Below are 25827 nucleotides of genomic sequence, written 5' to 3'. Positions count from 1 at the left end.
ATAAATCCCCAAAGCATTCTAAAAGCAGGTCACTTTGACTAAGAATTGATTCATTCTGTTAGAAGTTTAGATTTCTTTTTATTTATTTATTTTTCTACTTCCATTCATGCTATCTTTTGCCGATCCTTTTGTATGAGTTCTGTTGAATTCTGTGCCTTGTAATCCCATGCCTACGTATTAGTCTTTTGGGTTTTTTTCAGTTTTGAGGATAGAGAAAACTTTTTTTTCCTGTGAAGATTTTACTACACTTCCTAATTACAAAAGTATTGAAAAATATGAATGGTGGGTTTTAAAATAGAAATTCACTGAGCTGCATGTACATTTATAATGTATGTATTTATATGATTGTACTTGCCTGTATAAATACTACAAATTATTAAAAAGTTTTAAGAAGCCCCTTATTCACATCTGTGCTTTTTAAAAAAATTTGTGTCTTTGTTTCTCCTGTATCATTGAACGGTTTCTCCAAAGCATTGCAGCTTATTTTTGTAATAATTTTTGGCTTGAAATCTAATTTGTTTTCCTATGTTAACATCTGAGAGGATATATAGGGTAGTGATTAAGAGCATGCGCATTAGAGATAACTGCCTCGGTTTGTATCCTAGCTCCTCCATTTAGTAGCCATGTAACCTTGGGTTAGTTACTTGAATTTTCTGTACTTCAGTTTATTCGTCTGTTAAATGGGGCTAATAGGGCTAATAATAACATCTACCCCATAGGGTTGTGTGAAGATTAAGTGAATTACTATATATAAAGCACTTGGAGTGTGCATGTGACATGAGTACTGTATAAGTGTTTATGGGTGAGGGTTTATTCTGTGAACCTCTATTGTAGAAGCATCATACTCTAAACATGTGGTTAAGAAACACTGATACCCCCGGAGCTGGCTTGCATTAGGAGGTTTATTATAGAGGAAGGAGTATGGCCCTCAAGAGGAACTGGGGAGGGTGGTGGGTGAGTATTGGGCAGGCTGCAGGAACCAGGCAGCTGCTCTCCTTGTCTCCTTTCCCTGCTGGCTGCGGGAACTCGGTTCTGCTTCTCATTCTTTGCTTCTCAGATGGTGCCATTTCTGTTTCTCTTTGCCACCTGGCCCTTCCTGCTTGTTCATCAATACTCCTCTGTTCAAAATCCATCACCCCAAATGATAGTCTCAACCCAGCAGTTTAGTCGGCCTCAAAAGTCCATTGCCCACAGCTAACTTATTTAGCTTCTAGGCATTTATGTTCCAATTTTCCTAATTGGTTGAGCTTGGTCAAGCACCCAGCCCTAGCTCAAAGCCAGAGCATGTGGGGTGATATGGAACTGTGGGAGCAGATGATGTATAGGATGCTTCTTTGGAGGCAATTTCTGTATGAACTATATGAACCATGGCTTTTAAAACATTTCCAATTAAGAAATACATTGAACATCAAACCAGTACATACACCGGTAAATATTAAACTGAAAATAATCTTTGCCTTTACAACACGGTGTGAACTGATCTGGTCTATTTCATTCCCTTAAAAAATGCTAGTTATGAGCATATTTGGAAAAACACTGCTCTGAGACTTGTGTGTACTTGGTGCATTGGGTTGGGGGACAATTGGCTTTTTTGCACTCTTCTAATCAGGGCTTCTCTTTAGTGCACAACAGTGTCATCTGGGGCGCTTGTGGAAAATGTAGATTTCCAAATTTATCTCCAGGTGTTCCACATCACCTGGCCTGGGATCAGGCCTAAATATTGGCCAATTTTGCCAAGTGCTCAGGTGTTTCTGATGCAGGTTGCTTGCAGATTTTATTTTGAGAAACACTGCATTAGATATGTGCTCTCAACTAAGCTATATACCGTTACCACCTTTATTTCCTTCTGTGCATGAATACTTTGTCTAATGAACAAGTTGTATTCTGAAAGTCAGTTTATGAGACTCCTATTTAAAACTTCAGAATACTACTTCTTTTAGGAAGCTTGGTAGATTCCTAAACCAATACATAAAAGCCTTGTTAAGCGCTCCTGTAGATCTTGTTACCAGTGCTTCTCAGACCTGATTGCTGGTAGCACTGGGTTGAGTGACAGAGGGACCAGGATTTGGATTATAGGCAGGGGCAGTGAGGGAAGAACACAGGGGAAGAACATTTATATGGAGGATGAAGTGGACATGAAAGATGAAAGAGTGAAATCTTTCACATTAACGGGGAGAAAAGGTTCCTCTTAGAGGGCTTCTAACCACACCCGGCTAGTGAGGAAGATCTCTTAGGAATGTATACTTGCACTCTCAATTTAGAGATAGATTTCATTCTTGTAATGTCTTCATTTAGTTGACACTTAAGTCAGATTTTTCACCCTAACTGCTCTTTTTTGTGGTTTAATATTTGTCTTTCATTGTCTATAGGAACTTCTGCATTTTTATGTACTACTGCTAAAATCTGGAAATTGATATAAAATACACAGAACTTATTTTCTACATTGTTTCCCACCACTAACTTCTCCCAAATTTTGGTGTAGGGAACACTTTTGCACAATTTTCCTCTCCAACTTTTTTCACATCTTACTGTGTTTTACCCCTCATCAGTTTCAAATCTATTATCTTGTCTGCAGCATTTTTTTATGGCCTGATTATCTTCTACACGAATAGCTATAACCTCTTTGGGAGGTTTCTTACTTTCTGTGATCCTTCACTCAATCTCTCAAACTCTAACCAAAATAACCACTACATGTGCTAATTTAAGTGCACAACTCCCTTCTTAAGTCTCTACTTTTTGAGCAGCCAAGTTCATAGAATGAATCTTGAAGCAAGAGTGGAAAGAAATATTTCTTGTAAAGGAAAAAGACAAAAATATGTATATATATACACACACATATTCATGATTTAAAAAATTTCATCAAACTGGAAACGGAAAGGAACTTCCTCAGCTTGACAAAGGTATGAAAACCCTACAGGTAATATCCTATTTAATGCTGAAAAACTGAATATGCTACCCCTAAGATAAGGAAGAAGATAAGGATGTTCTCTGTTACTAGTTCTATAAAAATTTTTATTGGAGGTCCTAGCCAGTGTTATTGGACTAGAAAAAGAAGAGGAAGGAGAAAAAAAATTATCATTACTCCCAGGCAACATGACTGTCTATGTAGAAAGCAGCAAAAAATACACACACACAAAAACTACTAAAATAAATGTTTAGTAAGGTCACAGGATACATGGTCATACAAAAATTAATTGTATATATATTATCAATGAACAATTAGAAATTGAAATTTAAGAAATTTGTAGTAACATCAAAAACATGATATTCTTAGGTATAAATTTTATAAAATATCTGACTCAATATTGTTAAGGTGTCTACGTTTCTTAAATTTTTGTAGATTCAACAAAAACACAGTCAAACTCCCAGTAGGATTTTTTTTTTGTAGGAATTAACAGCTGATTCTAAAATTTACATGGCAAAACCAAAAAGGCAAAACAATTCTGGAATTAAAAAGTTGCAGGACATACACTGCCTGTCTGTAAGACTCAAAAGCACAGTAGTCAAGACAGTGTGGTAATAGCATAAAAGAGTCCACAAGTAGATTTTTGACAAATGTGTCAAGGTGGTGGAGGAAGGGCAGTCTTTCCAGAAAATGATGCTGAAACAATTGTACATCCATATGCAAAACATACATACAGCCCTAAATGAACCTCGACTCATAGCTTGTGCCATGTAAAGTGATTAATAAACTGAAAATGTATCATAGAACTATAATTATACAACTCTTGAAATTAAAAATCTTTTAGAGGAAAACAGGAGAAAATCTTTATATCCTTTGTTTAGGCAAAGACTTTCTAGATATACAAAATGTATGAGCTATAAAAGAAAAAATTAATTACACTGGACTTCATAAAAACAAAAACTTCTTTTTTTGAAAGGCACTGTTAAGAAAATGATCAGCCACAAAATGGGAGAAAATATTTATAAAATACATATTTTATATAAAGGACATATCTAGAATATGTGTAGAACTCTCACAACTCAATAGCAAGAAAACTCAATTGCAAAGTGGACAGAAGATGTGAACAAGCACTACTAAAGAAGAGATAAGATGGTAAATAAACATTGAAAAAAATTTTCACATCATTAGTTGGCAGGAGATTCGACTCAAAACTACAATGAGCTACCACTGAACACCAAGTAAAATGAATGAAATTTAACAAAAAGAAAGAAGGACCAAAGGCAGGTAAGAAGGAAGGAAAAAAAGAACATTCACAAGACTTTGGAAAGAATAGGTTGGTAGGAATGGTAAGAATGTGGAGAAACTGCTGGTGGGAATGCAAAATGGGATAGTCACTTTGGAAAAGTTTGGCAATTAAATATAAATGTTAAAGTACTCTAACCAATAATTTAGCAATCCCACTGTCAGGTACCTACTTAAGAAAAGCAAAAACATATATCCACACTACAGACCATATGTGAACATTATAGCAGCTTTATTCATGATCACCAAAAGTGGTAACACCCCTTAATGTCCATCAACAGTGAATCAATAAACATATTGTGATAAATCTATACAAAGGAATATTACTCAGCAATAAAAAGGATGAAGTTCTGATACACACAACAATATTGAGGAATTTCCAAAGCTATTATGTCAGGTGAAGAAAGTCAGACACAAAAGGCTGCATGCAGTATTATTCCATTTACAGGATGTCTGGGAGAAGCAAATTATAGAAATCACATCAGTGATTGTCACACACAGGAGAGGGCTAAGGGATTGATTATAAAGGAACACGGAAATATTTGGGGTGATGGAAATATTTTATATCTTGGTTATGGTGGTGGTTATATACTGTATATATTTGTCAAAAACCTATAGAACTGTAAACTTAAAAGCGTGAATTTTAATGTATGCAAATTGTACCTCAGTAAACTGGATCTTAAAAGATTTTCATAAATTAAAATTTACATACTGATGTATACATAAATGAATAATGTCTTTGTCAGGCCCATTTAGTAATAACAAGCTTCCACATTTGCATAGTATCTTTCAACTTTTAAACTGCTTTCATACCCATTTTCTCACGTAAGTCTCACAACGCTGTGAAAGAGGCATTGTTGCTTATATTTTAGAGATGAGCCTCTCTGAGGTTCAGAGAGGCTAAATGATGTGCTTAAGGTCACATAGTAAATCTTTCTCGAATCCAGGGATTTTCCACTATTTCTCAATGCCTCTTTAAAAAATAGATCATATTTGCCAATTTTGAAAAAAAAATTTTTATTTGTTTGTTATGGCTTACTTGGCTTCTCTTTCCTCCTCTTGATTGACGGGGAATTCCTGCTTTGGTGCCTTCCGTTTATCCAGACAAATTCCAGAGAGCTTCCGAGCACTTCACTAGTCCTCTGCCAGAGTTCCATTTTGTCCAAAGGACAGATCTCTTGGGAAAGCTCTCCTGATAAACTCAGAATCTCCTACCCTTCAAGAGCATTCTAGGTCAGGAACTGTGTCCCTTCCTCTTGGCAAATGAGACATATACTATGTTTGTATCTTATGTCACTAGTTTATCTCTGCGTTATTTCTTCATCTATCTCCGGGAGATTTGTGTAAGAAAGACTCATATTGACTCTGCGGTGAGGTGACAGATGGCAGTTTAGAGAGTTGGTGTAGGAATGAATATATGCACAGGATGATAGAAGAATGAGTAAATTTTAAGGTGTAGATGATTAATGAGGTGCAGAGGTAAAGGCTTAGTGATTCCCTCATTAAACTCTGCAGAGCTCAGACTGAATCAGGTATGTTCCTGTCAAGCCACATCACTATCTCTCTATGTAGATTCTTGAGGGAAGAGGAGAATAGGAGAGAAGATGTCAGGTTTTAGAGGAAGGAAAGTGTAGTATGGCAAGCAGGAGAAAATGATTCTAATGGAGATATTTTGATGTAGAATGAGAGGAGAAGCCAGAGAAAAGATGGTTGTTGGAAAATATTAGGATATTGCATCGGGTGATGAAGAAAGAATTCGGTGCTAAAGTAGAGAAAATAGCAGGGTTTGACTTAGGCCTGAATATATATTAGACAAACGAAAATGACAAGGGCATGCGAAGAGCTTGTGAAAATGTTTTAGATGGGTCAACCTTGCAGTGAGGCCAGGCAACTAGGCAGATGGATAAAAGTGTGAAACCAGGCCTTTCTTCTAGTTAAGGAAGAGTAACTTTTGAGTCACTGACTCAGTTGGGGGACAGGGGATTGGTGGGTCATGGTTATATCCTGGTCTAGAAATGAAACCCGCTGAAGAGACAGGATGAAGAACAAGAGAGAATGGCCCAGGCAAGGGAAGAGAGTAGAGGAAGAGGTGCCGAAGGAGACCGCCAGGTGCTAGTGGGCCACGGAAATGTGGAGAGATTAAGTGTTGAGGTGGATGGTGCAATGGGGGAAGAAACAGGTGACAAATCTTGTAAAGGACAACCAGGGAAAATTAGAACAGCAGAAAAAAAGCGGCAAGTGGAGTTGTTCATGAACATATTTTAAGAATAGAGAAGACAGATTTAAGACACAAGGTGAGGAATAGAACAAAGAGGATGGAGTAGGAGAGGCAAAATGAATAGAAATAAAGTTATCTTTTTTATACATACTCTCGTGTGCACATGTGCATGCACACCTGCGCACATGCGTGCGCGCACGCGCACACACACACACACACACAACCTTATACCCCTTTGTCAGCCAAAGCAAGGCAAGAGAATTTGAAAACTGAAACAAAGCTGCCTCCAGATGCGAGGTCTCAAATAGGCTGTGGAACAACCTTTGCACAGCATGAGAGTGAACACAGTAAACAGGAAGGCAAGAGCTGAAGGAAGACTTGGGCTAGAGATGAGTGAAGAGAGGCGTCTGTACACAGGGCAGTTGCAGGCAGTAGCCCAGGGTCATTGTACTTAGGTTCATGTGAGCAGAGGGAAGTTTTCGTGTAGAGAAGAAAACTGTTTCCATGAATATTATTTCAATTGAAAACGCTTCATTGAATGTTATTTTTAAGCACTTCAGTTTCTTAATCATTATAAACTGGGGTCTTCACTTCTCAACAGTGACAGCTTATTTGCTGTTTTTGGGAGGCAGGGAAGGAATTTCCATGCTGTAATAAGCCAGCCTAGCTGATTTCCTAAACAGCTCTCAGAGGCAGCTGCGGTTTCAGTCACCTAGGAAGCTGAGGATAAAATGGATTTAGCGATGGGAGATCTGTTCCTCTTCCTCCCGATCTTCCATTGTTTTTGGTTGCATCTCTAGCGTTAAGTCCGAGCGCCAGCTGAGCATCCCCAATTCCTTGGCTTGCCTTTTCAGCTTTTCTCCAAACATTCCTTCCGTGGGCTCTTGCTCCTGGCCAGGCCACGCTGTTCTCATTCCCCAATATGTTTTGTGCCTCACTTGTTTTCTGACTTAAGGCAGCCTCATTTTTGTATTTTGGCTCCTTTCCTCAGATACCCTCGGTGCTCTTTAGTCCAGCTCAAAAGCTGCTTCCTAATAAAGGCATCTCCAGGACCCAAGGCCAGGGCAGTCCCTGTGCCCTTGTCTTTATACTGCCTTAGCCCTCTCTGCGGCCCTGACAGTCCTGTGTTGGGGAGTGTGTGTGCTTTTCTGTGCAGGGGTGTCAGGTCCTTGTGGCTGAATTCTGACTCCTTATCACACTTTACAGTGACTCACAGATGGACACACAATAAGGACATGTTGGTTCATTGGACTTTTGAGGACAGAGGGATAGAAGCTGGTGTGTGAAGTCGTAAGTCAAGTTTTCAGCTTTCAACATTTAATTTAAGGTGGGAGAGTTGCAGACATCCTGATTGTACTCCCTTTATCTGATTTTGGAGAATTCTGCCCATGGATTCTGGCCTGGCCTGCAGCTGTGTCCGGCATGTCAGGGAGGAGCTCCATTTGGCCTCAGTGGGGCATGGACAAGGAGGCACTGACTGTACCGGCCTGTCCCCCTTGCCATTCCTATGGCGATGGTGGACATGGTCACTCAGGCCTGATATATGTGCTATTCTAGCAGGGTCAAGAGGCTGGATTCAGAGAGAGCAGCTACTTGCTTTCAAAAACACTATGAAATGTGAAGGGTGACCAAATTGCAACTATATTATTACTGTTACAGGAAAAGATTCACAAACAGTTCTCATTTTTTTTTTTTTTTACTAATTCTAATTTCTTTTCTGCATATTAAGAAAAACCACAAAGTTAACGTTATATATTTCTTTGCAATATCACCTTTTTATTTTCTTGTGTTGTTATACGGTCATGTGCCCTATAATGACAGTGGTTCTGTAAGATCATAATACTGTATCGTTACTGCACATCTTCTATGTTAGATGTATTTAGATGCAAAAATCCTTACCACTGTGTTACAACTGCCTACAGTATCCAGTACAGTAACATGCTGTACAGATTTGTAGCCTAGGAGTAATAGGCTATCCCATATGGCCTAGGTGTGCAATAGCTGTACCATCGAGCTTTGTGTAAATACACTCCATAGTGTTTGCACCATGATGAAGTCGCCTAATGATGCATTTCTTAGGACATAGCTCTGTCATTAAGCCACGCATGATTGTATTTCCTTATACTTTGGTTTCTAATTTGTATAGTCAGTAAAAATTGATTCTAAAACTCAATTTTTTCATGAATCAGATTCCGACCAAATCAAAGAGAAGAATAAAAAGTTAGGGCTTCATTAACCAATTTGTTTCTTCAGCAAAGTCCCATTTAATGACCACATTTTCCCTGAGTGAAAATGCACTGCCTTTCTCTGAATTTTATTTTGTAGTCATTCTAATAATTGCTTGCTATATTTTTCTGACTCCCAGTGCTTTTACATTTCTCATTCTCAAAATGCTGGCTCCCGACGGTTGTTCTCTTGAAATAGTCTTCAGCTGTTTATCTGTTCTTTGCTGAGGACCAGGCACCTGGAGACCATTGCTGCTTACGATGCTGCTCAGCAGGGCCTGAGGATAAGCAGGGAGTAGCATCAGGAGAGGCCATACTCGACTCAGTGGTGGAGTGGTGGTGGCAGAATTCAGGTCTTGCTTTCGCCACTTTGAATCAAAGAAAGCCTCATAGGTATTATTGTGGAACTCAGGAGGAATCTGTATCATTTATAGTCACAGCAGAACACAGAAGCCGCACTCAATTTGTTTAATTTGAAGATAGTTCAGTCAAAGGGCTATTTACCAAGGTGTGGACAGTGCACAGAAACCACAAGAAATGAACTGGCATCCTGGAGCTAGTAGCAGCTGGGTGTAGCTACCACCACCCGTGGCCCCGAAGGAGGAAGGTGGGAGCAATTTCTGAAGTCTGGAAGTAGGCTGTATGGAGCCAGTCATGAGGAGAGGATTGCTTAGCGGAAGCTGTGACCTTCAGTCAAGTGATACAACCAGCCCACAGTGAGTGGCAGAAAGGGAAGTGGGTCGGGGGAGTCGATAGCCCTGTCTTGGTCTTGTTCCTACTCATCTCCTGATTGTGTTGTCTATTGGCGAAACCCACCTGGAAACCGGACGACTGGGAAGTTTACCATATAGTCCAAACAGGTCTGCTTCCCAGGGCTTAGCGCAGAGCGGAGTAGACAGTAGATTTTTTTTTTTTTTTTTTTTTTTTTGAGACAGAGTCTTGCTCTGTCACCCAGGCTGGAGTGCAGTGGTGCGATCTCGGCTCATTGGAACCTCCGCCTCCCAGGTTCAAGCAATTCTCCTGCCTCAGCCTCCTGAGTAGCTGGGACTACAGGTGTGTGCCACTACCCCCAGCTAATTTTTTGTATTTTTAGTAGAGACGCAGTTTCACCATGTTAGCCTGGATGGTCTCAATCTCCTGACCTCAAGTGATCCGCCTGCTTCCGCCTCCCAAAATGCTGGGATTATGGGTGTGAGCCACTGCGCCTGGCCTGAGAGTAGATCTTAAGTGGTGAGTGGAAGACCAGAATTCACAGAATTTTAAAGCTGGAAGAGACTTCAAGAACCAGTTCATTTCTCTTATTTCAGAGATCAGGAAATAGAGCCACAGGCTTGTCAGTGGTAGAACTGTAACAAGGCCTAACAATTTCCTCAGTCTGTGTGCCTCCTACCCCATTATTCTACCCATCCTATAATTTGGGAGAAAGGAGAGAGAGGAGGAAGGCAAGAACAACTAAAGAGTAAAGCTTCAACTTATAATAAATGCTTCGAATAGGTGCTCAGTTACACAGGTAATGTTAGAGGGATTTTAACAAGTTCACAATTCGGTTATGCTTAGTTGTGTGGCTAACTATGTACACTGGTAGGAATAATGATGGAAATTTATATTAGGAAATGTGTGATTGCACCTATAGTTGGCCTGATAACCAGGAAGCTGAAATAATGCAGCTTTTGTTCCCTATTGACACTGGCCTAGCTACAGGGCTCTCTTTGAGGTATAGTCTCAAAAGCTTGTTTTAAACCTTGGCTCTGAGGTGAAGTCTGAGTCATACTTGGGTGCCATGTTCCATCAGCAGAACCATCCTATAGCTCAGAGACCAAGGGAAAGAGGGCTAATTTGAGCTCACACACATGCAACTCTCATATAAACATTGATTTACACATACAAATATACATCCAGATACATAGGCAATTACCAACTAACAACATTGACCTAGAAATGATCCCTATATATCAAGAAGTTGGAAATGATATTGGCGTTTATTGTATTGCCCTTCTGTTATAATAACCCTTGAGAAATGAAAGACCTAGAACAGTGCCTTTGTTTCTGATCAGTGGAGTTAGAGAGTTGCAACTCATTATTGGTCTGGTTCATTCATTAATGTCATTAACAAATGTTCATTGTGCACCTACCATTATGCCACATGCTTTGCCAAGTACTGGAGATAGATAAATAAGACATAGTCCCTGCCTCATTTCATTAGGGTTTGCAAGAAAAGCCTTGTTACTAGCAAAAGCAGTGAGTGTGACTTCTGCCTTTCCTGTACTTCTATACTCCTTTCCAGTACTCTTTGTGATTGAAGATATTGATTCCAAATCTGACGTGTGACTATTCTGATGTCAGTAATATGATAGTTGTATAAAATTTGGTGGCTATTTGGTGGCTGGTAGGAGGGAGGGAGTGAGGAAGTAGGTGCTGGCTCTCCCTGGGATTAGAATTTAAGTATTGTTTACATTACCCATGAGATTGTCACTTACAGACTTTTTAAAACAACCTATTTCTAAGGTCAGTAGAAATTGTGCTAAAGCCAGGGAAGGAGGTGGGAGGGCAGAAGTTCTTTGACTCCTTTCTAAGTAATTGGAGTCAACAGAAGCTCCTTGTCTGCCTCTGAACAGAATATATTCACATTCAATGAATAAATATCAGGTAACTGCATTGTGCTAGATGCTTTCAAGTAAATTGTTTAATATTCACAACAACTCTGTAAGGTGAGGATAATAATTCCCATTTTATAAAGAAGAAAATGAGGTCTAGGTAATTTAAGTTACTCTCTTCCTTCCCCCGCCCAAGATAAGTGTCAAAGCCAGGTTTCAATTCTAGCTCTTTTTGACTTTAGGGCCTTGCTTTCTTCAAAAGATTATAAGGATCTTCTAAATGATATTTTATTACTTTTGTAATTTCAATCTGCCGTTTTCACTACTATTTCCTACTTATCTGTTCGTCCTTAGCTCATTACTCTCCTGATCTCTTAGGTAGCACTGGGCATGCTCTGTCACAGCCCTCTCACATGATACTGTAATTTCCTGTTTATTTGTCTTGGCCACTAGTCTAATGGCTGCTTGGAGATAGGATCCCATTCCCATTCTGTGTTGGATCCTGTCTCCTAGCAGGTTCCCTGGCCCATGGAAAATGTTCAACAAACATTTATCAAATGAATCGATCTTCACAGTGATTCTGTGAAGGCAGTAGTTATCTCACATTTTGCAGATAAAGGACTTGCAGTTAGAGAGGTAAAGATCGCACAGCAAATTAAGACTAAATGTTAAAAGTGAGTCCATTAACTCTAAAGCTTTGCTCTCTCCATTACAAAACAACATGATTATTATTGCAAAAGAGGCTTTGTGGAGGGATGCGGTGGCTTGGAATATGTCTGGGCTACAGAGCAGATTGTTTTGGGGGTTGGGGCTTGGAAATAGCCTTCTTCGACACCTACATTTCATTTTATTTTTTACTTTTTATTTCTTTTGAGACAGAGTCTTGCTCTGTCACCAGGCTGGAGTGCAGTGGCGACATCTCAGCTCACTGCAACCTCCACCTCCTGGGTTCAAGCGATTCTCCTGCCTCAGCCTCCCAAGTAGCTGGGACTACAGGCGCTCGCCACCATGCCCGGCTAATTTTTGTATTTTTATTAGAGACAGGGTTTCACCATGTTAGCCAGGATGGTCTCGATCTCTTGACCTCGTGATCCACCCACCTTGGCCTCTCACAGTGCTGGGATTACTAAAGGCGTGAGCCACAGGGCCCGCCCATTTTATTTTATTTTTTTTCTTCAACTTTTATTTTAAGTTCTGGGGTACATATGCAGGATGTGCAGGTTTGTTACATAGGTAAACTTATAAATGGGAGCTGAACGATGAGAACACGTGGATACATGAATGGGGGAAAAATACACACTGGGGCCTGTGGGGTGGGGAGGGAGTGGGGGAGAGAGAGCATCAGGAAGAATAGCTAATGGATGCTGGGCTTAATACCAAGGTGATGGGTTGATCTCTGCAGGAAACTACTATGGCAGACGTTTACCTATATAACTCCTACTTTTAAATCTCCTCTAGTGCAGGCTGTTCATCTGTAGCTCAGAACACCACTGTTTTCTGGGTAGATGCCTATAGGTTTGGTGGTCTGTCCCCTATTCCCTGCTCTCTGTAGTCCTTCCAGTATCTTCCTTTGACTCCTTCCCAGTTGAGATTTTCCTGCTGCCCTGCTCCTGTGCTTCTCCTTTTATCATCTGCTCATTTTCACTGCCCGTCCCCCTCTTAATAGATAGTGACAAGCCAATAATTTTTATTAACACTTGAAAATGCTATTTTGCTGTTAAACCAATACACACAATTGCCCTAATCTGCTGCCAAATGGTAATAATCAGAATCAGGTTTCAAAAGGTTTGGATTTCAGCAGTGCCCACACTGTCCTTGGAGGCCTATAAATTAATTATAATTAAGAACTGCGTGCAGATATTAGGAGAGGAACTTTGAGCAATTTTGATGTCTGCTCTTGCAACATATTAAGGAAAAAAGAAAAACCCGTGAGTGTTTGCTGCTGGTGAGAGTACTGATAATCATCTACGTTTGTATTACAAATTTCTATTAAAATGCACACATGTAAAGTGATTTATAATCCTTTATTAGTTATCTGTACAAACCTTGTATCAAGAATATGGGTGACAGTAGAAGTGATACTTCTGCTTTGTGCATACAGCAGGAAAGAACAGCTCAGATAGAAAAACCTGGCTTGAGCCACTGGAAGTGCTGTAAGGACAAGAAGGAGCCCAGGTGACAGGTCTGGTTGAACGAAGAATGAGAAGGCTCTTACTCGGGAGAGGTTCCAGGAAAGATGTAGCAGAAATATTGCTGCCAAGAGATCCAGTATCACCTTTGCTTTTGGCAGTGATGGGGCCATCTTCTTCTAAGGGTCTACAGGAGCTGGGGGGCTTAGGATGGGCGTCCTTACCTGCATTATGTAAGAGGACTTGTTGGTTCATCTGCTGGCTCAGAGATTTGGATAATCAAAGCCTATGTCTTTTCCCTCTCTCCCATCTATCCTGCTCTTCTCTGATCAAATATTTTCCAAGAAACAGCTTTAATGAAGGTTTTGATTTTCTGTTTCCATTATTTATGTGGCTGTAATATGTTGAAATCCATTTGGGGTTAATTCTCTGCAGGACTATATTTAGGTGAGTAAATTCCCCAACTCCAGGACCAAGGATCCCTGTTTATTGTCATGTGGGTCACTCAATGACAAATGAATTGGGCATGTATCTAGCATGTCCAGGGAGATATTTCTTTCTCCACTGGTTTCACAGGGGCACAGTCTCAGCCCCTGCCTCCATGCCCCAGACTCTCAGGATTTCTTACCTTGCTCCTTTCTGAAGAAAGAGCAGGGCAAGGGAGCTCAAAAGCTTGAAAAGAGTAACGGATGATGGTAATAGTGTGAGAGGGAGGAAAATAACAGAACACAGAAGTGTAGGTTCCAAGTCAATTCAAATCAAAGATTGGTGCCTTTTATGTGTTATTTCTACAGACTTGGATGATATTTAGTAGTTTAGCAGACACTAAGTGCATTTAGAGGATTGAAATTGGATTTTTAAATGCCCTGAATATATAGATGCCATTTGACAAAAATAGATATTGGTCTTCTACTTAATAGTGATATTGAAAAGTAGATGTTTGTCATCTGTGATACTCACATTTCCTACCTCAGATGGTTGATGAATGCATGTATTGCCTAAGCTAAGCATTCTGAGTCAAGATCACTTCTTTGGTTCAACATTTGCCCTGCTTCTCTAGATTTAAATTTAGAAGGTATAACTTAAAACTTTAATTGACTTGGAACTTACAATTCTTAAAAATGTATTAATTAAAAATTATTTTGGATCTGTTCTGCAGAATTGAGTCAACCATACTTCTTAGTTCATAGCACAGTTTCATTATAGGTTCAGATAAGGACATTGTGTTTAATAGTTCTTTGGGTACTTTTATCCTTTCTTATACATTTTAGAATAAATTTATAGCATTTCTTTTAAAATCTTACTATTATTTTGATAAGAATTGGCTTGAAATGATAGAAAATAGAACTTAAAATACTATGATATCACATTCATGAATGTGGTATATGGTTACATTGTTTGGGTCTTCTTTCAAATCTTTTAATAAAGTTTTCAAATTTTTGCTGTAGAGGTCTTGTTAAGACTTTTGTTAATTCCTACATAGATTACAGTTATTGGATGTACCCACCAGGTAAAGGCTGACGATCTCTTGATTTCCTATTATCAAAGAGTGATGTTTTATTTGTTTGTTTTAAACACAATTTAACATTTCTATCATATATATTTCCCTTAGTCAAGTATGTTATCTGCATTTTTCTGAGATATTCATGTAAATATCTCATTTAGTTCTTTAATGTGGTGAATTATTTTGATACATATTCTGAAGTTAAGCCATTCTTGCATTTCAGATATAAACCGCAATTGATCATGGTGATGATGATTACTATTTAAAAAATATACTGTGTTTTAGTTAGCACTATTTTTTTTTTTTTTTTGAGTCGGAGCCTTGCTCTGTTGCCAGGCTGGAGTACAGTGGCATGATCTCAGCTCACTGCAAGCTCTGACTCCGTTGTTCAAGGGATTCTCCTGCCTCAGCCTCCAGAGTAGCTGGGATTACAGGCACGTGCCACCACACCCAGTTAATTTTTTGTATTTTTAGTATTTTTAGTGATCTGCTCACTTTGGCCTCCCAAAGTGCTGGGATTACAGGTGTGAGCCACCGTGCCTGGCCACTAATTTTTAAGGTTTTTTTTTTCCTTTATGTCCATAAGTGGAAGGGGTTTATAATAATCTTTTCTTATAATTATCTGAATCTAGAATCAAGCTTTCCGTCTTTTTCTTTTTGTTCCACTTATATGAGCAAGGCTCGTTTCCTTCTTAAAAGTTTGATATACTTAATCTATAAAACCATCTGTACCACTTTTGCTTCTTTTTATTTTGGCAGAGGTGGGGTGGGCTGGTGGGATGATTGGGTGGGAAGTGGAGGACTAGGGTAGGGAGTAGTTTTGTCACATTAGGGGTGTGGGCTTTAATAACAATTTCTAAAATTTCTAAAACTTAATTCAAATGTTCTACATTCTTTTCAGCCCCTTTCCCTATTTGCCATTTTTATTATATATTACACATTAAATGGAAAAGTAACTAGTTTTCATAATATTCATTATTTCAAAATTTCTATTATATATGTTATTTTCTCTTTCATTCGCATTTTCTCTCCTTTTTTTTTTTGATTCATCTTGTCAGGACTTTACGTCTTTTAAAAGATCAGTTTTGTTTTTTGCTTTTCTTTGTCTTGTGTTTCATTCATTTGTTATTTTCTTGTTTATTAGGGTTGACTGTTAAGTTTTTAATGCAGTAAGTGAAAACTTAATTATAATTAATCATATTTTATTTTCTTGGTTTCTTATAAATGTATTTAAAAGTGTATTTTTCTCTGTAAATGCTTTAATTGTGCTCTAGAAATTCTGACATTTAGTATTTTTATTGTTATTCTGTTCAAAGGAATTTTAGTTTCCCTTATGATTTCCTTTTTAACCTTATAGTTATTTAATCACAAGTTTTTTTTTTTTAAGATTTTGGATATGTAGTATTTTTAGTACCTTTAAAAAGTACTTTTAATTTAATCACATTATAGAAAAATGACAATTGATTTCATATTGATTTTTTTAATCTATTGATGTATTTTTGTAGATTTAATATTTTTCATGTATGTACTTAAAAAGAACATCTATTCTCTGTTCTATATACATTTCTAGGTATCTGAACTAGTTCGAACTTATAACTCATGCTTTAAAAAAATCTTTTATGTCTTAGTTAATAAGATCTTTTGTCAGTTGGATTTGTCTGTTTCTCCCCATGTAAATTTTAGTTGTTGCCTTATACATGAAAAGTCTATATTTTAGCCTCATATGTGTTCATAATGATTGCTTCTTCCTGGTACCTATATGTTATACCACTTAATGTCCCTTTTGATATTTTTTGCCTTTGAATTTTATTTTGTCTTGATATTAAAATTTCGATAGATACTACCACTTTGACCTCCAAAAAGGTTATACTCGTTTATACTCTTCTTGACTTCCATTGTATGAGAATTATTGTTTCCCCACTCTCTAATGTGACATATTTTAAGCCTATGTCTCTTAACTTTCTGTCTTTATTGGTAGCTTGGAAAACTGGACCTGATACATAGTTCTGGCATCTTAATCTTAACTTCACTCACTGCCTGTCATATTCCAGTCATAGTCTCCTTAATTGAATCACTCCAAATAATGTCCTGACTGCATTAAGGGATGGTGCTTGGAATATTTTTGACTTAATTATTGATTAAGTCACATTTTATTCTTCCAGTTGTGGTTGCCCCAGGACTCAGTTTTCTAAGGACAGGGTTGGCCTGGCTTCTCACCCAGATGTATCTTCCCTTTGAGCCTGCTCTGAGCCTGCTCTGAGCAAAGTGTAGACTGTTTCCTGCTATAGTTACCCTGTACCAGTTACCAGCATGAAGATAAGCTCCTGTGGCCTTCTGTTTGCTATGGATCTCGGGATCACTTAGCCCAAGCTTCAAGGAGGCAAAGAGCCAAATGAGTGAACAGTCAACTCTCTAATCCTGCTGCTTTGTTGCTGGTCCTTCTGGTGCACCCTGGTTTCTGAATTCATGGCATGATTTCGATATGCTGAGCTCCACTGATTCCCAATACTGGCCCTGGCCTGAGTGATTATTGAATTCATCTACATGACTAGTAAGCTGTCAGTGGAGGTCGCTGCTACCCCGAGGCCATTATGGGACATCTTCAGGGAGTTATATCGCTCAGGGAACTAACATCTTTTGCCCCATGCGCGGTTCCTCTTAACATTCCTTTCAGCCTCTGTCTGCCATTCTTTCACCCTCACCTCCCACACACTCACTTTGTGCTATCATAAATAGCTAGGCTCCTTGAACAGCTTCTATAGAAGCTTAAACGTAATATCCTTTGGATCTGTGGAGTATTTTAGATTATTCAAAGCACTTCCATATACATATTTTCATTTGATCTTCACAAAAATCTTTCAGGTATGTAGGTTAGGTATATTATCCTGGTTTCACCGATGATAGCATAGAGATGGTAATTAGGTGACTCGCCCATCCTCAGGCACTGTGTTAACACAGAACTGGTATTAAAACGTCAGTTGGTTTTGGTTGGGGATTTCATTCATTCATTCATTCATTCACTCAACACTCATATTATACTGAGAGGCCCCAGAAGGGAAAGAGCAAGGGCTTTGGAGCCAGACAAACTTGGGTTTGAAAATTGATGTCATCCCTTATTAGCTGTGTAATCTTGGTCATGTACTTAACCCTCAGTTTTCTCATTTGTAATAAAAGGAAAGTATGACTTACAATGTTTTTGTGAGTATCTAATAATGCATGAAATTTACCTGGCAATAATAATATCTGGTACCCAGCAGGTTGAACTATTTGACTAGCAGGTCAAAAATGGTCAAATATTAACAATTTTATATGGTTCAACCTAATGGTAGAAACTCAGTATTGGCCACCATTTATTGAGTCCTTCCTTATTGCATATGAGGCACTGTTAGAGCTCAAGAATATGAATAAAAGTGAGGAAAACATTTTCCTTATGGGTCTATGTCTGTATCTTCTGCTAGACCATGGTCCTGAAGGATAGAATCTGTATCTGTTGCATCCTCCCCACCAAAAAAAAAAAAAAAAAGAAAAAAAAAGAAAAAGAAAAAAGTTCTCTAGGTTATAAGTGCTCAATAATTACTGAATTGAAAAAGTCCCTGCTCACAAGGAGGTTATCAACTAGTTAAAGTAGGTGGACACATCATCATATATTGGTAATAAAAGTTTATGTGTATTTAGATAGATACATGCAGGCTATGGTGAGAGCCCAAAGGAAGCAATGCTCAATTCTACAGGGAGAGCAAGACTTCCTAGAGCAGGTGCATCAAGACTTATGGTCTCTGTGAGGAAGGGAGCAAAGCCACTCTGCTTATCTTGGACTACATGCTTTCCCTCAATGAATCCCCTTTTAATGTTGGAAATTGAGTTTGTATTCAAAGTAGCCTCTTTGTCTCACAGCCCCTCTGCTACTGTTATCTCCCATAATGTATTGCTTTGTAAAGTGCTTTGCTGTATCCTGAGTATAAATGAGATGCTCTGTAAAACCAGATGCTATTCTTTGGGTGTCACAACTAGCCACTGCATAGCCAAATATAATATATTGTGTGAGACAAGATAAAGGAACACAAGAGATACTTTAGAGAGAGCAAATAAAACATCAAAGTGGGAGAGTGGAGTGCATTAAAGTTAAACTGTCACGGCAGAGTGGGCCACTTTTAAACGTGAAGGAAACTAATTTAGTGACTTGTAACTGTAGGATTAGAATACCATTGGAATGAAGTTAGCTTATAGTTTTGCCAAATGGTAAATCTTTTGGCTTTCCTTGAGAACCAGTCATTGGAATTGAACTGTGTGTGTGTGTGTGTGTGTGTGTACTTTGTCCACAGCTCTTTGTGGTGTCAAACTCCTTCTGTCTTCCTCTGAATATCAGTACTACTCAATTGCCTATCTAGTGTTTCTTTCCTTTAAGTTCTGGGAGGAGGAATTCAGGCCCTGTTTCTCCTGCTAAATTGTGTACAGCCCATCAGCAAAGGTTTCCAGGGCTCATGGAGTCATTCTCTGTTTTCACAGAGACACTGAGATCAGAAAACTGTCAGGAGTAAACTTTGCTCAGGCATGAACCACTGAGCTACTCATCTTATTTGTGAGAGAGAGACAAGGCAATCAATACAGGTCTCCTTCTTGGCAGTGTTGAAGGATGACTATACCAGTAAAAGTTCCAAAATGTTTTCTGCCAAGAACTGGATTGGATTTTGTGCTTCTTCAGCCACAAAATGTCCCCAGCATCTTGCTCCCAAATCATTAATGCCCTTTGCAGTCAAGACTGACTGCTCAACTCGAACACTTCCTTATCTTTCTTTATTCAATACTGTCATGATTAGCTAATCTCTCAACACTTTTAGATTTTTAATCTCTCACCATTTTTTTTTTTTTTGAAACAAGCAGGAGATCTGAAGCAGCATTTTCAACCTTGATTGTATGCTCTCTCTCTTTGTAGAAGAATGAGAATCTGGTTTTGGTTCTGGTTGCAGTTTGTAGAGTATTGCCTTGGAGTATTAAAATGCTGTGTTTATGTATTGGCATGCTGGTGTTATAATGCCATTGACCTTGGATAATTACATAACTGTGTTGAGCTTCTGTTTTTCTATTTGAGAAATGGGAATAAAATGTCTAATTTATAGAGTGTCCATGAAGATCAGAGAGATTATATATGAGGAAATGTCTAACACAGTGTGCAGCATATAAAAGATGTACAATAAATGATTCTTTTTAATTTTTTATGGATTCGGGCAGTAAATATGTGCTTTTGTTACATGGATATATTGTATAGTGGTGAAATCTGGGCTTTTTAGTGTAGCCATCACCTGAATAGTGAACACTGATTATTTAAAATAAAGCGACATAAGCAGAACTAGTTATATTAAAATAAGAGGAGCTCTTGGAGAATAATGAGAAGCATAGAGAGAGATGGCCAAGGCTTATATTCTATAGAGCATTATGTCCTTAGTTTGATGCATAGAATAAGATTTAGGGTCATATGTGGAAGTAAAAAGGAAGGAGTTCTTTGTAGGTAAAAGGTGGCAAATTATATGAAAATACGGTATCAGTCATTTTAGGGAAGTCACGACTATAGGATGGCATCAGGAAAAAAAAAGGAACATTTTTCAAATGTGGCTCTAACATTACTTCAGCTGCTAATGGTATTTGTTTAAGTTTCTGTATTTTGGTGTATAAATAGATTGGAGTAATATGTGTTCCTTATAATAATTGGTTATATGAGAGGCAGTTCCACGTAGTGTAATAGAACACATATTGGAATACAAAAGTCAGAAGATCTGGGTTCAGGTTTGTTTCACTTAATTGATTGGTTCATGGTCTTAGAACACTTAGCTTCTCTGAGCCTTGGCGTCAACATTTATAAAAATGGTGATAATAATGTTTTTCTTATTTTATTCCCTACTGGGTCATTGTAAGGATCAATTGAGGCAATGTTTTAAAACTACTAGTCATGTATCAGTTGTTCTTGTAGTTTAATATTAAGAGCCAGATACTAACAAGGTTACTAAAGAATTTTCTGGCTGTTGTCCTCATTGAGGCAAACATAAGGTGAAGGCAGCAAGAATGCAGGGCTTGTGTACTTATAGCCCCCCACATCCAGTTTATCCAGCCCATGTTCTGTTGCTCACCTCTGCTGAGCACGTTTTTCTGCTCACTTTGTCTGGCCTTGCTTTCCTTCAGCCCAAGAACAGTACAAGGGTGGGCTGTAACAGGAGGGCCAGGAGATTTGTGTATGCATACTCGCATGGCTACCTGGACCACTCACAACCTCTTTTCCTCCTTTGTCTCTGCCTGTAGCTGCCAATGACTATAGCAATAGCACCTTTTATTGCCTTGTTCAAGGATTTCTGAGGCTTTTGAAAGTTTCATTTTCTCTCATTCTGCAGAGCAAATACCAGAGATAAGAGAGTAGGCTGGTAGATGGAGTTGGGTTTGGTGCTCAATGAAAGGAGATAAGGTCCTTGAATTGCAGTATCTAGCCTCTTCTAAGACAGGTTACGTGATGTAGATCCTATTTTAACATGCTCTTTCTTTGTGTTTGCAGGGAGTCGACGAGTTGAAGATGAAGCCCAGAGCGGAGTGCTGTTCTCCCAAGTTCTGGTTGGTGTTGGCCGTCCTGGCCGTGTCAGGCAGCAGAGCTCGTTCTCAGAAGAGCCCCCCCAGCATTGGCATTGCTGTCATCCTCGTGGGCACTTCCGACGAGGTGGCCATCAAGGATGCCCACGAGAAAGATGATTTCCACCATCTCTCCGTGGTACCCCGGGTGGAACTGGTAGCCATGAATGAGACCGACCCAAAGAGCATCATCACCCGCATCTGTGATCTCATGTCTGACCGGAAGATCCAGGGGGTGGTGTTTGCTGATGACACAGACCAGGAAGCCATCGCCCAGATCCTCGATTTCATTTCAGCACAGACTCTCACCCCCATCCTGGGCATCCACGGGGGCTCCTCTATGATAATGGCAGATAAGGTAAAAAGGGGCTGCAGGGAGAAGGGCCTGAGGGTTTGTGCTGAGGACTAAACCATGCATTTGTTTTCCTGTAAAACTTGATTGTTAATGATGGAAGGTAACCAGATTGCATTGACAGCGTGGATAGGCCAGCAATTAATCCTTTTTTTTTCTCTCTCTCTCTTTGAGACAGAGTTTTGCTCTTGTCAGCCAGGCTGGAGTGCAATGATGCCATCTCGGCTCACTGCAACCTCCACTTCCCAGGTTCAAGTGATTCTCCTGCCTCAGCCTCCCGAGTAGCTGGGATTACAGGCGCCTGCCACCACACCCAGCTAATTTTTGTATTTTTAGTAGAGACAGGGCTTCAGCATGTTGACCAGGTTGGTCTCAAACTCCTTACCTCAGGTGATCCACCTGCCTCAGCCTCCCACAGCGCTGGGATTACAGGCGTGAGCCACCGTGCATGCTTAGCAATCTGTTAAAGATGAAAGTGAGGGAAAGGTGCTGGTATCTAGAAACTCCTATAGTTTTGAAAAGGTTTTTGTGTCCACTTGTTTGTAAATGGACTCACTGAAATGACTAAGGGATGTTGACGCTTGTAGCTCTGGGATACCTTTTCTTCAAATAGGTATATGAAAGGCATACTCTGTTATTCTTTGGCAATACGTGTTCTCCCCCATACTGTTTTCAAGACTATAAAAAGAAAAATCCCTCAAGGCAGGTGATTTCTCTACTTGAAGATACAAATGTCATAGGGAAATAATTCTTGCCAAGGTATTAACGCTCATCACACATATTGATCTGCACATCCAGATGGATTTTAATCCGTGGAACCTGTAGCAACACATTTTTCCCCATGCTTAGATTTGAAGGCAATTGGGTGCACATTAAAATCACCTGAAGAGCTTTCAACACTGCTGATGCCTGAGTCCCACCCCTCGGGATTCTGATTATTGGCCTGGGCTTCGGGAGTCTTAAAAGCTCCCCAGGTGATTCTAGAGTGCAGTTAAGATTGACAACCACTGCTTTAAATCTCCAACAAATCCTAGCCTCTCCTGCGTTAATGTTAGGCTAATTGTCATATGACTAATTGCCACTTGACACTGGGGCTTATTCCCTAACTGCAGAAAAAAGCGTTTTATTCTGCTTTGGGTTGTTTTGTTTTTACATACTATCAGTTATTCAGTTATTTTCCTTGCTTTACTGATTATTGTTCATTACTTAGATACAGCACTTAGTACATATGCACTGTCCTTTGCAGCCAGCCATTCACGTCTTAGAATAGTTAGTTTCACCACAAGTGCTACGTTTATCATTTTTCATCATTTTGGGTTTCTACTATTGTCATTGTCATACTTTTTATCACCACATTCAAACCTGCCTTTAGTTTTGTACTTAAAAGACATGCTTTCGGGTTAATAATGTTTGTAAACACCTTAAAACCTAGCACAGACACCACAAGCATGCTGCCTGGCTAGTTGACAACCTCCGCAGTGGAGCAGCTGAGCCGAGACTAAAGGAACCTTGCATGACCGTTACCGCCACCTGTCGGCAGCAGGCAGAGATGACTAGCTTCTGCTTCAGAGCTTCCCTTCAGTCTAGGAAAGGTCAAGTTAAAAGTGTTAAGTGAAGACATTCCAGTATCATATGAGAAACATATTCTTCCATTTACGTGGGTGCAGGTACAGATGTTAGAAAATAGGCACTAGCACAAATAGCCCATGCTAAGGGAAGTGGGAAAAATAAGCAAAATGGAAAATGTAGACTGCTGTGGCAGAACCCGTTGAGTTGTGCTTCAGGTAGATTTTTCTTTTTTTCAAATATGATTGTCCTTAGCAAATTATATTTTATTTTAACAGTGGCAATTTGAGGGCACAATTTTGCTTTGAAAGAATTCTGATATGGTTAAGAGCGAATTTTAAAATTACCATGAATAAGTACATATCTACTTTGAGAGCACAACAGGTAAAAATGATTTTTTTCTCATGTGGGCTGTTGTGCAACCTATATTATTTCTCCCTGGTAGAAAAAGTTATGCCTAAACTAGCTGATTGCTTCTCTCTGGTACCTTTTACAAATCCACAACATCATTATACAAATATAAGGTAACTTGCAGAGCATGCAGAGAGACTGAACTCTTTTTTTCGCTGATGTATCTTAGGGGCTTTGAGAGTGTTCCCCATATGCTAGGCGCTTAGTGCTGTGTATGTACTATCTTATTTAATACTCTTAACCAGTTAGCGACCTAAGTGATATTATTTAATCTTTATCTTACAGATGGGGAAACTGAGGCTCAGAGAGGTTAAGTAACATATCCAAAATGCTACAGCTCTTAAGTGGAAGCCAGGATTTTAACATTGGTTGCTAGCTTCAAAGGCTGTGTACTCTCTTGTCTCTCAAGAAAATGACTGGTTAAGGTCTCATATATCTTACTACCCTTCACTTTCTCCCTTGTTAGATGGCATTGTGGGGGATGTCATCTGACTGAAAGTGATCTATTACATGATTTATAATCAGGCAATACTGGAGTCTAACTACAAGAGAACATAACAAGGGTATGAAATGGTGGAGCGCTTAAGTGTAGCACAGTTCCATAGAGGACCCACTGGCTACTGCCTTCCAGGAGTAAATAGGAGAACTGACACCAGTAAAGTGAATTCTTCTAGGTCACTGTAATGAGACCTCCTCTCATCACTTTCCCCTTGCTCCTTCCTTCATTGCTACCACACCCAAATATTCCATCATGTCTTTCTCTCCGCCAAATAAGGAGGTAGGTGGGCAGTGACTTTTAGATGCTTTTCTAAAATAGCGTAAATATCTGACTTTTGACCTGGAAAGAATAGTTTCTAAAAGGTAAGCAGCAAGAGGGAAAAGAAGAAAGAAAAAGATCCAGTAATGGAGATCCTGGAAAGTTGGAGGCTCAGCCCCAGGCGTTCGATGCTGAATGGGTGGTGGCAGGAGCTACCTGGAGAGAGAGTGCCAGCAGCAAACTTCCCAGCAGCCATGCAGAGGAATGTTTGGGGGCTTAACAGATTTGCATAAAGGCCAATAAAAAGAGTCCCCAAATCTCAGAGAAAAAAGCCTTTGGGACAAATTTCAAAGATAAAACACCTCAAAACTAAGGCCAGGTTTTTTTTTTGTTTTGTTTTGTTTTTTTAATAGAAGTTTATTTTTAAGTACCATGACCATATTTTACAAACATAGAATGGGGACACACAGTTGGACAACTATTAATCAACAACAGGGGAATAGGACAAAAAACATTTGAAAGTGGAACTGATGCAGTAAATCTAAGACATGTAGCTTGGCCACACTGAAGGCTCATAGTAATCGTCTGAAGGATGATCAATAAGCCTTCTATTTTGTTCTCCCCTTCTCGGAGACAGGTAATTGTCAGTCTGTTTTAACTTAAGTTTTTGTTGTTAGTTTATTTCCAATAAAACCCACTTATTAAGTGCTCTTGTGGATGATTGCATTACAGGGATAAAGTTTGTATTCAAGAAGTTTTTGATGCTGGAAGGACAGCATTCTTCTGAAGACTTTTGACAACAGCACAGACACAGTTCAGCAGTTCAGCACCTCGTCAAATAGCATGTGCTCACTTTTTTGCATATGCTAATTAATCAGTAAGAACATTAATTAGCACTCTGCTTTCCCAAAGAGGAAATGAGCTTTATATTATGGTGGAAAGAAGCACGGGGGCTAGCTGAGTAGGGCTATTAAAAAATCAGAATTTAGAGTCCAAGCTGGATTCGGGCATCACTTCCTAAATGTTAGAATCAGGACAAGTCACCAATCCCTGACTCTCAACGTTTGTTTCCTTGCCTGTATAATGGGGATACTAATATGTTGATTACAGGGTTGTCGAGGATTAAATGAGGTGATACATGGCAAGTGCTTCACTGAAGTGTCCAGCCTAACATTCAGCAGGTGAAGCTGAAGGCCATGTGGAGCAGTTTGAAGGGAGTGAGAGTGTATCATGATGCAGGAAAAGAATGAGAATC

The 25827-nt window shown here is 39.3% G+C and overlaps 1 protein-coding gene across 5 annotated transcripts in view; it reads left to right on the top strand.

Annotated features, from left to right (window-relative positions):
- The window catches only part of GRIN2B (glutamate ionotropic receptor NMDA type subunit 2B), a 444798-nt gene that overhangs the window by 94493 nt on the left and 324478 nt on the right, over window positions 1-25827 (top strand). For all 5 annotated transcript variants that reach the window (NM_001413992.1, NM_000834.5, NM_001413993.1 and 2 more), the window contains one exon: window positions 21416-21844. In NM_001413992.1, the coding sequence (NP_001400921.1) occupies window positions 21434-21844 (411 nt within the window). In that variant the 5' untranslated portion in view covers window positions 21416-21433. The remainder of the gene's footprint in view (window positions 1-21415; window positions 21845-25827) is intronic.

This window comes from Homo sapiens, chromosome 12, assembly GCF_000001405.40.
Source record: "Homo sapiens chromosome 12, GRCh38.p14 Primary Assembly".
Taxonomy (NCBI): domain Eukaryota; kingdom Metazoa; phylum Chordata; class Mammalia; order Primates; family Hominidae; genus Homo; species Homo sapiens.
This window is presented reverse-complemented; position numbering and strand designations above follow the sequence as displayed.